Source organism: Homo sapiens, chromosome 11 (assembly GCF_000001405.40).
Source record: "Homo sapiens chromosome 11, GRCh38.p14 Primary Assembly".
In the NCBI taxonomy this organism is placed as follows: domain Eukaryota; kingdom Metazoa; phylum Chordata; class Mammalia; order Primates; family Hominidae; genus Homo; species Homo sapiens.
The window spans coordinates 111,488,695-111,503,572 of NC_000011.10; the positions used below are offsets into that span (position 1 = coordinate 111,488,695).

General features: G+C 38.0%; 1 protein-coding gene across 21 annotated transcripts in view; it reads right to left on the bottom strand.

The window, feature by feature from the left end:
* BTG4 (BTG anti-proliferation factor 4) overlaps positions 1-14,878 on the bottom strand; it is a 130,900-nt gene that overhangs the window by 104,869 nt on the left and 11,153 nt on the right. For 16 of the 21 annotated variants that reach the window (XR_947835.3, XR_947834.3, XR_947852.3 and 13 more), the window contains 4 exons: positions 9,910-10,108; positions 9,304-9,441; positions 8,517-8,715; positions 6,469-6,620 (listed from right to left, as the gene is read on the bottom strand). Coding sequence is in view for 13 of the 21 variants with exons in the window: in XM_011542876.3 (XP_011541178.1) it covers positions 6,469-6,620; positions 8,517-8,715; positions 9,304-9,441; positions 9,910-10,082 (662 nt within the window). In the remaining 8 variants the exon portion in view is untranslated. Of the gene's footprint in view, positions 1-5,026; positions 5,122-6,120; positions 6,621-7,817; positions 8,716-9,303; positions 9,442-9,909; positions 10,109-14,878 lie in introns of those variants that run through there. The other 5 variants (NM_001367974.1, NM_001367975.1, XM_011542879.3 and 2 more) reach the window with 4 other exon arrangements.

Sequence of the window (14,878 nt, forward strand, 5' to 3'; positions counted from 1 at the left end):
ATCTGACAGGTATTAACTGCTAGAATAGATAAGAAGCTCAAACAACTCAATAGGGAAAAAAATTCAATTTTTTTGGACAAAAAATCCAAACAGGCATTTCTTTTGTTCTCTTTGTTTTTATTTGGCTCAGAAGGTACTGAATAGAGATTTCTTAAAAGAAAACAAACAAGGCCGGCCACGGTGGCTCAAGACTGTAATCCCAGCACTTTGGGAGGCTGAGGTGGGCAGATCACCTGAGGTTGGGAGTTCAAGACCAGCTTGACCAACACGGAAAAACCCCATCTCTACTAAAAATACAAAATTAGCCAGGCATGGTGGTGCATGCCTGTAATTCCAGCTACTCGGGAGGCTGAAGCAGGAAATCACTTGAACCCAGAAGCAGACGTTGTGGCGAACTGAGGTCATGCCATTGCACTCCAGCCTGGGCAACAAGAGTGAAACTCCATCTCAAAAAAAAAAAAGACAAATGGCCAACAGGTATGTGAAAAAAATATTCAGCATCACTAATCAGAGAAACACAAATTAAAACTACAATGAGATATCATCTCACCCCATCAAAATGGCTTGCATCAAAAAGACAAGTAATAACTGTTGCTGGTGAGGATGTGTAGAAAGGGGAACCCTCATACACCATTGGTGGGAATGCAAACTCCTACAGCCACTATGGAGAACAGTATGGAGGTTCCTCAAAAAACTACAAATAGAACTACCATATGATCCAGCAATCCCACCGCTAGATACATATCCAAAAGACAGGAAAACAGTATATCGAAGAGATATCTGCACTCCCATGTTTATTGCAACCCTATTGACAACAGCTAACATATGGAATCAACCTAAGTATCCATCAACAGATGAATGGATAAAGAAAATGTGGTACATATACACAATGGAACATTATTCAATCATGAAAAAGAATAAAATCTTTCATAAAAAAGAATAAAATCCTATCATTTACGAAGAATAAAATCCTTCATAAAAAATAATAAAATCCTGTCATTTGCAACAACATGGATGGAACTAGAGGACATTAAGTGAAATAAGCCAGGCACAGAAAGACAAATATTATATGTTCTCATTCACACTTGGGAGTGAAAAAAAAAAATTGAACCCATGGAAATAGAGTAGAATGGTTGGTTACTAGAAGCCGGGAAGGGTAGCAGGGAGGGGTTGGGTGAGTGGGGATTGTTAGTGGGTACAAAAATACAGTTAGAATAATTAAGATCTGGTACTTAGTAATACAATAGGATGACCATAGTCGATAAGTTACTGTACATTTTTAAATAACTGAAAGTGGCCGGGTGCAGTGGCTCATGCCTGTAATCCCAGCACTTTGGGAGGTCAAAGTGGGTGGATCACATGAGGCCAGGAGTTTGAGACCAGCCTGGCCAACATGGTGAAATCCTATCTCTACTAAAAATACAAAAAAAAAAAAAAATTAGCTGGGTGTGGTGGCGGGCACGTGCTACTCGGGAGGCTGAGGCAGGAGAATCGCTTGATACTGGAAGGTAGAGGTTGCAGGGAGCTGAGATCGTGCCATTGCACTCCAGCCTGGGCAACGAGAGCAAAACTCCATCTCAAAAATAAAAAAAATAAATAAAAAACTGAAAGTGAAATTGAGATGTTCCTAACACAAAGAAATGATCAACGCTTGAGGTGATGAATACCCCAATTACCATGATTTATAACACAACATGTGCCTCTATCAAAACATCACATGTACTCCACATATATAACTATTATGTACCCATAATAATTAAAAATAAAGAACTTTTTAAAATACAAGGTACAAACTGGAAGAAAATAGTTTCAGGCCACACATCTGACAAAGCACCAGTGTCTAGAATATATCAAATATTCTCAAAACTCAGTGGAAAAATAAACAACGCACTCAATTAGAAAATGGCCAGAAGACTTACACAGATATTTCATCAAACAAGATATTCAGATGCCAAATGAGCACAAGATGTTCAACATCACTAGCCATGAGGGTCATGTAAATTAAAACCATACTAAGATACCCTACACACCCATCAGAATGGCTGAAATAAAAAATTATGACAATACCAAAGACTGGTAAGTGTGTGGAAAAGCTGAATCACTCATACATTGCTGATGGGAACATAAAATGGCAGTTTCTTTAAAAACTAAGCATGCAACTACTATATGACCCATTAATTGCACTCATATGTTTTTATTTCTCTGGAATAAATGCCTATGTTCACACATTGTCTACACAAATGTTTGTAGCAGTTTTATTCCTAATAACCAGAAACAATCGGTTGTTCTTTGACAGGTAAATGGCTAAACTGTGATGTATCCATACCACGGAATACTGCTCAGCAACAATAAGGAATAAACTACCAATACATGCAGCAACCTGGATGAATCTCCAAAGAACTATGCTTAGTGAAAAGAGCCAATTCCAAAAGGTTACCTACAGTATGATTAATTTATAACATTTTTGAGATGACAAAATTAAAAGAACAGGGGGAAGATTAGTGGTTGCCAAGGGGTTAAGAAAGGGATGGGAGTCGGAGGAAGTGTGTGCAACTATAGAAGGGCAACAAGAGGAATTCTTGTGGTGATGGAAGTGTTCTGTATCTTGACTGTAGCAATGTCAATATCTGGTTGTGATACTGTACTAAAGTTTTGCAAAATGTTACCAAGGGGGAAAACTAGGTAAAAGAATGCATGCAATCTATGTTATTTCTTACAACTGCATGTGAATTTATAATTACCTCAAGATAAAAATTTTTTTAAAAAGAGAAGGCCAGGCATGGTGGCTCATGCCTGTAATCCCTGCACTTTGGGAAGCCGAAGCGGGAGGATCCCTTGAGCTCAGGAGTTCAAGGCCAGCCTGGGCAACATAGCGAGACCTCGTTCTCTACTAAAAATCAAAAATTAGCCAGGTGCCTGTAGTCCCAGCTACTCAGGAGGCTGAGGCAAGAGGATGACTCAAGCCAGGGAGTCAAGGCTGCAGTGAGCTATGATTGCACCACTGCTCTCCAACCTAGGTGACAGAGTGAGACCTGATCTCAAAAAAAAAAAAAAAAGAAAGAAAGAAAGAAAAGAAAAGAAAAATAAGTGGTACATACTCATCATAGAAAATTTTCAAAATGTAGATTAGGAAGATCTAATTTGGTTATTATACAAATAGACTAATAGATATGACATTAATATATTTAGGGGCTTTTCAAGTATATTGACTACTTTTTATCACAATAAAAATATATAGTTGATTATATTTTTTCCCCTACACATTTGCTCAGAGCCTCCTGAGAGGCTCTAAAGGATTACACAGGGATCATATGCTCATGGATGGCTGCCTCTGAGCCAAACCCTAGCACATTGTGGAATTGGTTTCTTCCTGAGTACCAATTTGGAACAATTAATTATAATGGTCATCTCAAGTACTGTGCTACAAGAATTATGAGGCAATCTCTGAACCCAAATCAGAACACTGTGATTGACTAGCAGTGTCCATCAGCAGCATGGGGTTCAGGGGTACAGTGTCACCTCTGCTGGCTGGAAGAAATGTTTTTAAACCAACCTTGCAAACTGCAAGGGACACTATTAATAAAACCCTCTGTGTAAAGGTTCTTGAAAAATCACTCAGTCTTCTGTCATATCCAAATATTATGTTGCATTTTTTATCTAGCAACTATTATATATGGTTGATTTTTCTTTTTTTAGTCCACTAAATTGTACATGTAAAGACCAAACAGCTTCAGATTTTTACAGCGATTAGTTCTCCATGCCCAGCCTAGAACACAATACTTCTTACTCTGCTGAGAGAATGATCAACCAACAAGCATTATTTAATGCCGTGTATCAGATTATATATTAGGCAAGCATTTAATCGCCAATAAAGTCATTCAGTCTATAAATCTGAACACTGCTATATGCCAACATTAAATGGGAATATGAGGTATCTGTACTCTGAAAACTCAGTCTATTGGGAGGATACTGATAACTATGAAACAATTATAATAGATAAGTGCTCTTCTAGGGGCAGACAGAATGCTGTAAGGAACCCCTAACATATGACTGTAAACTGGACTTGGGGATCAGGAAGTCTTCCTGGAAGAGGTAGCATCTCAAGTGATACCCAAAGATCAAGAGGGAAGGGAGAACAATGAGGCAAGGTGAGAAGTATCCCAATCAAGAAGTCTCAAATACCAGAGTCCCCGGTAATCCCAGCACTTTGGGAGGCCAAGGTGGGCAGATTACTTGAGGCCAGGAGTTTGAGACCAGCGTGGCCAACATGGTGAAATGCCGTCTGTACTAAAAATACAAAAATTACCCGGGCATGGGGGCGCACGCTTGTAGTCCCAGCTACTCTGGAGGCTGAGGCACGAGAATCACTTGAACCTGGGAGGCGGAGGTTGCAGTGAGCCAAGATCTCGCCACTGCACTCCAGCCTGGGCAACAAAGTGAGACTCTGTCTCAAAGGAAACAAACAAACAAACAAACAGAGTCCAAAAGAGTCGAGGTTAGGCTGAAAAGATATGCAAGAACTCAAGTCATTAAGACCAGAAGTCATATTCTAGAATTTGAATAATTTCCTGATTGAAACATTTTAAACTGGAGAGTAAAGATTACCTTAGGATAGGGAACAAGATGAGAAACAGTTACTGTTGTTAGTAGACTGTTGCAATAATCAGGTAACTAATGACAATTGCCTGCACAAGGGCAGAAGGTAGGGAGGCAGAGAAAATGAAATGTTACCAGAAATTCTAACTTGATGGTTAAGGATTAAACTAAAGTACATTCACATACATGCCAGCATCCTAAAGCCTAATACTTACACCCATTGCTGGTAGTCTTGTTTCTGCCCCATTATCTGGAGACCAGAATTCACCCACACACGTATGGAGGCTGGCAAACATCACAACCACCTCCAGGAGATGGTTTGCTGAGGGGCCAGTAAACTAGTGTTGTGGTTGCCTTGAGAGAAATCTAGGGAGGTTCACAACAACTCCCACACTATAGTAGAAAGCTCTTCAAGAGAGGACAAACTCACTTTTCAGCAGAGAAACTTGACCTCATATGCCATTAAGGGTAGGTGAGTTTGTCCCACAAAATAATGCTGCTATGTGCCCTAATGAACCATCGTTTCTAGAAAAAAAAGAAAAAATGATTACTAAGAGCTGCACCCAAAGTAATGAGGCTAGAATCAAGCTCCCTCCCCCTTCATCAGCACTAGCATGACTGCTGGCATGTCGTACCCAAGTTGGGACTCAAGGTCACAACTTTTTGTATCCACTCAGAGCCACTGGCCCAAAGCACAAGTCTACTCACAAGAGAACCAAGCTGTGACTGCTCCAATGCTACCAGCTTCCTGGATCCAGAATCACCTAACAGCAGAAACTCAGCAAGAAAACCAAGATGTAGGGAGAAGATACAAGCGGCTGGAGAAGAGCAAAGCCTTAAAATGGAGATGAGAGAGGAGAAGGGAGGGATAAAGTTTTGAAGTAGGAGAAAACAAAAAGAACAAGTCCCCTGCTGAGAGCACAGGAGGGTGGAGTAAAAAGAGATTGAGAAGACAGCTACTAAATGGCTTAAGTGGAGATTAACAGGATCTGCCAAACAACAGCAAGGACCTGGCTGAGAACAAACAGCATGAGTAGGAATGGGTCCAGTCAACAAGGTTGTGGGAATTTTCTAACAACTAGAGACACAGAATTTAGAAGAGTCAAACTATTTTTGGCTAATAAAGTGAAGCTGGATTGTAGAATCTCCCTTCCTAATTTTAAAATCTATAAAATCTAACAAAGATAAAATTCACCAGCAGCAGCCTAATGGGCATTTCCTCATACCATAAACATTGAAAAGTAGCAGCCAAAACAATTCTCACTGCTATCAAATTTGTAGAGACATGGACTGCAGAGTCATCAACTTTCCCTCTAGCAAGTGGTAGAGGGTGAGGGGAGAAAGAATGAATGGTGGCCGGGCACGGTGGCTCACGCCTGAATCCCAACACTTTGGGAGGCCGAGACAGGAGGATTGCTTGAGCTCAGGAGTTTGTGACCAGCCTTTACAAAGATAGGGAGACCCCTTCTTTACAAAAAATAAACTTTTAAAAGTTTGTTTCTTGCAACAAACTGAACTAAGAAGTATTAAAAACACTGTACGTTTATTTAAACCATTACTTTTCATAATTCATTGAGTCTTATTAGAGGTCAACATCTTCATTCTGTTACCTTACTGGGTACATTCACTGATGTTACATAAAACTTCATGTAAAATTAAATAAGAATTAAAAGTACAGCTAAGAACAGTGATGATCTGTATGAGAGGATTTACCATTGTGTACCCTAGTCCCTAATATGGTCATTTTTTGTTTCATGGGCCTCTCAACCTTAAATTCATTTTTATTTTAGAGAGAATAAAGGCACTCCTCTGAGCTCTTGCCCACCACGTGCCCAGTCGCTGCGTCATCGGTGTGTGTTGACCCAGTGGTACCTGTCCAGCCGGTGCATAGCAGGCCTGTAACACTTAGGATGCTTCTGCGAGCCATGGTAAGTGTTTCCCAGGAGGCCAACACGGCCGTCCACCACATTCTTTTTGCGGGGGATTTGTAACCAAGATTGAAAGGGCTGTTTCAAGTTTTCAACCTGGAAAAAAAAAGTATAAAGATCTCTAATAAGCTAGCTGTAAGGACTAAATATGAACCCATAATTCAAAAGTCAGGCACTTCAAAAGCATAGGGAGCACAAATGAATAGAATTGAAAGTGCATAACCATCTTTGAAAAAAATTTCTAGCACTTGGCGGGAACATAAATCACTTTATACTGTACCTTTTTAAAAAGTTAATTAATTCAACTAAAAACTTTTTAATATGCTTATTCAAGTTTATGTTTATTCTTGAATTGTCCCTCTTCCATCCCTACCTCACCACTGCCAACCCAATCCAAAACTGCATGTTCATGATCTCTGGGGCCACAGCCTAGAAATCTTCATTTTAAACACCTAAGATGATGGATACAGATGTTTTACAGATCACACTTTGAAAAGACATTGCTGTAAAAGAATATAGCTGATTACAGGTCTGATCCCCAAATGGAAGAAGACCTTTCTAAAAATAAAAATAGAATTAAGGGCAAATACTGTAAATCCTCACTCAACAACCTCGATAGGTTATTGGAAACTAATTTTAAGCTAAATGACATATAGCAGGTCTTTGAATAACATAGTTTGGTTATAAGACTGAGGAAAAAAATGGCTTTGTCATACATCATTTTACTTAAAGTCACTGTTTCCAAGAAACTATCAATGACACACATAGTTTAAAAAACTAGGGACAAAACATTTGCCAGAAATATGTCAAGGGGTTAAAATCGTTCTGGCATATAAAGAACCTACAATAATACATTAGAACTTCAAATAATGAATGGCTGAATAAGAGAAAATTTGTAGGGCAGTAGGTGCTAAAACATTTGGGCACATGGAAAGTTTTAATGTTTAATTTCACTAATACTGTATTATATATGCATATCATGTTAATCAAATTATCTGTTTTTTAAATGAGAATAGCCAATTCTAGAAAAAAATGGCAAAGTTGGCACTTTTACATACAGCTGGTGAGACTACAAATAAATACAACTTTCTACATGGTGTTTCGGCTGCATATTAAAAACCAGTAAAATGTTCATACTCTGCGACCCAGTAGTTCTGTGCTTGAGAATCAAATCTCAAGAAACAACCTAAAATTCAGGCATCACTATACGAGTTACCAGCTTTTAAAAAAATATTACAACCATGTGGAAACAGCCTAGAATATCTGCCAATAATAAGTTACAAAGGAGGCAAATGAATATTAAAATTTTAATTGCTTTAACATTTAATACATAGGTGATTAAGAGAACATACAAACAAATATATACATATAGTGTTAACAAATTCTCTCTAGATCAGTGTTTTTCAAATTGTGGGTCATGAAATCAATTTAGATACTTGAAATCAAATGAATTTAATTGGAAGTATTGGGAGCATTGGGAGCATTGCTCCTAGTAAAGATAAGCACTGTTTCATGAAACTTTTTAAATGTAAATATACATATTTTGAATGGGTTATGGTTTAAAAAGAAGAAAAAAATAGCTGAGAAAAACTGCTCTAGTGGCAGAATTTATAGGCCTTTGACCTTTCCTATATCCAAATTTTCTATAAATGCCGTGGTATTTTCAATTGACAGAAAAAAAAATCCCACTAATCTTAATCTTTGATTCTGTAGGAATTTAAGTGGAAGGAAACCTGTGTATCTTCAAATACTGTATGAAGAAATAGGACAATAAAAGATTATGTGGATCCTAAAAGCTCAGCCAAGTGTAGGGAATACATTGTGCAGTGAAGGAGACAGAAAAAGTTTTGCCAAAATATTAAGAGTCTGGCTTTTAAAAATCTACAGTTTTGTTCTTTCCATGTTTTTTTGCTTCTTTGTTTTCATAATGAGTGCATTCTTTTTAGAATTAGATAGAAAAAAAGTATAGAAAAGAACTGGAACACTCTTGACCTGATAAATACTCTTCGGATTGCTGACTTTAGGAATGACACGAGGTTCCTTGCTACAACTTTCTTCATCGCAGGAAGTGCCAGAGGAAACGTCTGATGAGGCTCTACTAACGGCATAACTGATTTGTTGATATAGTTCCCATTCCTCCCATCTGCCTTTAAAAGAAGCAACTGTAAATGGATGGTTTTTCTCACCATACCTAAGTAGGAAAAGAAATTTAAGTGCTAATTAGCGATTCAACTTTCTACAAGATCTCCAATCTTTCCTGGAGACAATATGCTAACTTATTTTAAAAGAAATTGCCTTAAAAAATTGAAGGACATTATGACCTTCACCTACTACACTGTTATAAATTAGGATATTCTATAAGAGCTATTTTGGTTAATTGTTCAGAAAAAAACAAAGACTAGTTTCTTTTGATTCAGTTAATGAACTGAATTGTCCCATGGTAGATAACTCTCCTTCCTTTCTGATGTTGCCTATAACACTTATCTGTTATCAACCTACAGTTTGTAATAGATACTGTTACCAATCTATAGTTTGTAATAAGGTGCAGTGATTAAAGCCACATTTCAAATATTTTGCAAAATCATTGTGCTTTCCACCTCACCCACTTTGAATAGAAGTCTGCATTGTCTAACAGAAGTTTGCATCTAAAATCTTAACCAAGAAGTATCCCTGCTGCCAACTCAAGGCTTTGGGGCATCATCTTTCATGAAGGTATGTAAAGTTGTCTAACTTAAGGTTTCCAGGTATCACACAGCACACAAACTATGAGATTACTCACCTACAGCATACTTCAAAGGGATCTACCCATATGGTCATCTCCTTCGGAAGTCCCAGGTGAGAAAAATCTACATTACTTTCCACACATGCCCTTTCTAGAATGGGATCTTTATTCTGATTGTTGTTTATCCTGATGCACCTTTTTAAAAAGCGAAGGGAAACGAAGACATGATGACAGACACTTTAGCAGGAGAATCACATTATGCACATACTGTTCCAATACACATAGCTCCCACCTCATCCCCTCAGCCTCCTTCCCCTCAGCCTCCTCCACCCTCCACTCTTACAAGTAAGACATCATCAACTTTTGATACAGTGGCTCAGAATGTATGTTGCATCACTAAGTCACAAAATTAGTTATCTTTCATGGCAAAGACAAGTTAGAAATTGTTTAATCTACCTCACATAAGGGGCTTTGCTCTGTTGTTTCCAGCCACAGTGTCATCTACTATGTCTCCTCCTTTCAATTCCACGTTCAAACAAATAAACTCGAGCCCATAAAACTTTTGTTACTTATATGCAGAAAACAAGATCACTCCATTTTCCTAGGAGCTGGCTGGTTGCTTGGTGATTGCTTCCCTTTGCCATCCCACATACTAGCTCTCACCTGAAGGCTTGCCCTTTAGAAGGGCAATCAGAGTGCCAGTGACTTCTGTATGTTTCAAACAAGATCGTCATCAGCTTTTCTGCAAAGTCTTCTATTTGCTGTTTACTTAGTTTATCATGTTTTTTCACCAATCTTGTGACAAAGAAAACTGTTGTTGCAATTTCATCTCTCATGATTCAAGAAAAATAGATAAGGAGGTCTGAATCATTAAAAGGAAGCAAGAAGAAATAGAAAGAAATGGTTTAACTTATTATCAATATTTAACTGCCATTTGGAAATTTTACATACCTTAAAGTTAAAACTGAGAAAATCTGCTAGAAAGAAGTCCTTAGTAAACTAGGTAAGTACATGAACACTATCAATCAACATAACAGCCAAGAACAGCAATTCCTCAAATAGCCCAGTTTTAAAGGTTTTCAAAGGAAAAAAAAAAGTCTTTTTAAAATTTTAAAGCACTTAAGTAATAAATGAAACATCACTACAACTTAAAAAAGATCCTGATATGGGACAGTAATTACCTCAAGCATCACTTTTTAAAGATATATTAACAAAGAGCAAAATATTTCAGGAGAGAGTAATTCCAAAATGTGGCTCCAAGTTGCATGCTTTAGGAATAATCAAACACATTATACTTGCCAACAAAAGCTCTTTAGCCCCTAAGAAAAGTGGGCGAGACTTAGAAGACCAACCGCACTATCCCTTATGTTTCCAACTCTCACCCACACCTGTTCGTGAGTTCGAGGCTGAAGTTTATATAAGCCTGGGCCCTAAAGGCTGATGGATGTTTCACCTTACACAGGTGCTGCCTATTGAAATGATCATACAGCTTTTTCATATGCCAATCTGGTCTCCATCCGATTGCTCCTTGGCATAAGTGGAGTGGGTTCTCTATTTGAAGTGTTTAAAATTTTCAAACTGGATCTATATTTTCTATTTTGCTATTATAATCTTATCTTTTATAACACAGAGTGAGAATCAAGTGTTCTCCTTCCATATCCTAATATCGTACATTCCAATGATGTCATCTCTAACTTAGCTGACAACATATTAAGGAATTTTGCCTTAGATTTCTTACAAAATTTGTTACGACAACTTTGAGCAGTCATTATGTTGACTACACATTTTTTACTAAAGTGTTTATTTGTAGGATAAGTGGAAGAGATCTGAGTTTATCTAACCTCACCAGTTCTCAAAGGGCGGGTCAGTGACCATGTGATCTGGACTCACTGTGTTTCTTGTTAAAAATTCAGATTCTTGGCCAGGCGCGGTGGCTCATGCCTATAATCCCAACACTTTGGAAGGCCGAGGCAGGTGGATCACCTGAGGTCAGGAGTTCGAGATCAGCCTGGCCAACATGGTGAAACCCCGTCTCTACTAAAAATACAAAAATTATCCAGGCATGGTGGCATGTACCTGTAGTCCCAGCTACTCAGGAGGCTGAGGCAGGACAATCACTTGAACCCAGGAGGTGGAGGATGCAGTGAGCCAAGATCACACCACTGCACTCCAGACTGGGTGACAGAGCAAGACTCCGTCTCAAAAAATAAAAATAAAAATAAATTTAAAAATTCAGATTCTTGGACCTTATTTCAGATCTGCTGAAGCAACTCTTCTCAAGGTAAGGCCTGGCAATCAGTAGTTATCAAGTTCCCCCAGGTGATTCTAATACCCATTAAGCGTTAAGAAGCCACACCTGACATACGTTAAGTCTTTAACGCTCAGGATTAGTGATCATTCAGTTTCTTCATTAGTGAAAAGGAATTCACTGTCTTACAAGGAAGTCCATTTCATTTCTAAAAAGCTCCAAATAACAGCCAGACCTTCCTTTCTGTGTGGAGCCAAATCTACCTCTGATTTTCCTATATGTGCAGCCTAGTTTTTCCTTCTGGAACTACACCAATCGTGTCTAATGTTCCACCACATGATGACATTTCAAATACTAGCTACTCAGCCTCCCTCAGCTTTCTCTTTGTGGAGCCTAAATAGTCTCAGCTTTTTAAGAGTTTTTCCTACAGACACAGCTCACCATGCTGGGTACTCACATCACAATGAGTGTCAGGTGTGTGAGTAATCCTCTTTTTTTTTTCCAGCTTGCACACAATGCTCCAGGTGTGCTCCACCCCTAAAGACTAGCATGGGACTGTTGCTTCCCTCCCTCTGAATACTGTATTCCAGAACACAACCTCAGGTGGCTTTTACCTTGTTGGCAGTGGCATCACACCACAGACTCACATTGAATTTGCAAGTACTCTTTTTCATTAATGCTATCATTTTGTCATATCTTTCCATTCCTGCACAATACAAAGTTTAAAAATATGGGCATTAAGATCGGATAGACCTGAGTGTGAATTGCAACTTTAAGACTCACCATCTGTGTAACCTTGGGCAACTTAATTTTCTGCCTGTGAAATGGGAGGTACAATAGTGAACTCATAAGGTTGTAATTAAGATTATACTAGATAACAGTAAAGCACTTGTTCTTGAGCTGGGCAGATGGCCTCATGCCTGAAATGCAAACACTTTGGTCCCAGGCGAAAGGATCACTTGAGGTCAGGAGTTTGAGGCCGGCCTGGGCAACTCAGTAAGACCCCTGTCTCTACAAAAATTTTAAAAGTCAGCTTGATGTGGCATGTACCTGTAGCCCTAGCTACTCGAAAGGCTGAGGTGGGAAGATCACTTGAGCCCAGAAGTTTGAGGCTGCAGTAAGCTATGAGCTATGATTGTGTCACTGCACTCCAGCCTGGGCAACAGAGCAAAGACCCTCTCTCAAAAAAATAAAAAAAACCTTTCACTAGTGAAGAACTGAGATGAAATACATATATTAGGTAGTGTGCTGGCTATTGTAATGTCTTTGATGCTTGAGAGGTATAAGAAATGTAAGTATAAGGATTATCAAAGTTGGTTAAGGATACAAAAATAGATAGAAGAAATTAGTTATAGTATTCCAGTACAGCAGAGAAAAGGATACAAAAATAGATAGAAGCAATTAGTTCTAGTTATTCTAGTACAGTAGACAAATTATAGGTAACAATTGTTGTATATTTCAAAATAGCTAGAAGATTTGTAATGTTCTCAACACAAAGAAAAGATAAATGTTTGAGGTAATGGATATCCCAATTACCTTATTTGGTCATTATATATTGTACACAAGTATTAAAATATTACATGTACCCCCAAAGTACATACAACTATTATATATCAATTTTTAAAAATTGTTTAAAAGGACTATGAAATGGGTGGCTGAGCATCTTGATATCTAAGAATATGATTTAAGATTTAATTAAGATTAATTTAATTCAATTTAGTAAATATTTAAACATCTACTATGTACCCAGAACATATTAAAATAAACAAACGTGAAAGTAGGACCTTAATAATCTTCCAAATCCATAGTATCTTGTTTGTTTCAGCTGTCCATGATGTAGTTGTCATTCCTCTTCCTCAGTGGCTGGGGTACCTAAACTGTTGCACTTTGGAATCACCTGAAGATCTTTTAAAAATACCAATGTCTGCCTCCTATCCCTTACCCCAGACATTTTTTTTTTTTCAACAGAGATGGAGTCTCCCTATGTTGCCCAGGTTGGTCTTGAACTCCTGGGCTCAAGGAACCTTCCTGCCTTGGCCTCTCAAAGTGCTAGGATTACAGGTGTGAACCACCACGCCCGGCCAAGACATTCTGACTTAATTGGTATAGAGTGCAACCTGCACATCAGGATTTTTAAAAGTTCCCCAAGCGATTCTAACGTGCAGCAAAAGTGGAAATCATTAAGATAGATACCGCCTTAGCTGTGAAGAAGATTTTAAGCTTATTTTACACTTTTGATTGCTTAATAATGCCTTAAGTTTAACAGATTATTAGGACAAATTTGCATCATTTATTCTCGTATTTTCTAGCCATTTGCTAGGGTAACTTTTGCAAAGATTATTTTTTAAAATTTATGTTACAAGGGACAAAGCTGAAAATTAGGGTAACTCCTTGTATACTGCTGAAATTTTGCTTCTGAACTAAAGGCAACAGATGCATTAACAAACACAAAATTTTTTTTCTTTTCAAATGGTCAGTTTGCATTTACAATAATAGAATGGTGCCAGGTGTTTTTATAATTCTTTCATTACTTCATCTTCCTGATGACAAACTGTTCCCTTGCACTTTGAGTTGGTGAAGTACATTAATGAGGTTTTGAACCCTCTCCTAGCATTATTTTCTGCAACAGGCCCAGGCAGGCCTTGAAAGTTATGAATAGAACAGTAGAATAACAATGTACTTAGATTTCAGGAAAGAACAATCAAATAAAAAGTAAACATCATGCAAGGTTTCCTTCCGTTACTTGTTTATGACTTGAAACACCTTATTTAAATCACCTCCTTTACATTAATGACAACTACACCTTCTGTTTTAATTAACACTCACTTAGTGACTATTTACTGACCACCTACTTCACAGACACTAAGTATTAGTGGGGCTGGGGGTAAAAACAAAATTCAACTTTCCTTTCAAGAGGCTTATCATCTAGAGAGGGAAACCAAATACATACACAAGTGACTACTTGGATGTAAAGTTTGGGAAATGAAATACTCAAAATTTACCCCAAGTTTCAAACACTTGTAACCAACAGATTAATGTTATCATTGAAAGAATGAAGTTCAGTGGAAGAGTCGGTATAAAACAAATGGTGATTCATTCAGATTGAGGTATACTGAGCTTTCAATGGCAATTAAATACCCAAGTAGTAATGTCCACTGACAAGATGTCAGAATTTAGCAGAAAGACCAACCTGGTCTGGCCTAAGCCAATCCCAGAGCTAAGTAGAAGAGAAAATTACTGCTGAAATTTGAACAACTCTCCCACTATCCTTGTGTCATGTCTAAAATTCTCATTATAAGACATTTGTTCCCTTGCTTAAAACCTTGTCTTTCAAGGATATCTTTTTGAAAATGTCCAGTGAACTATCCATAGTAGAGCAACAGG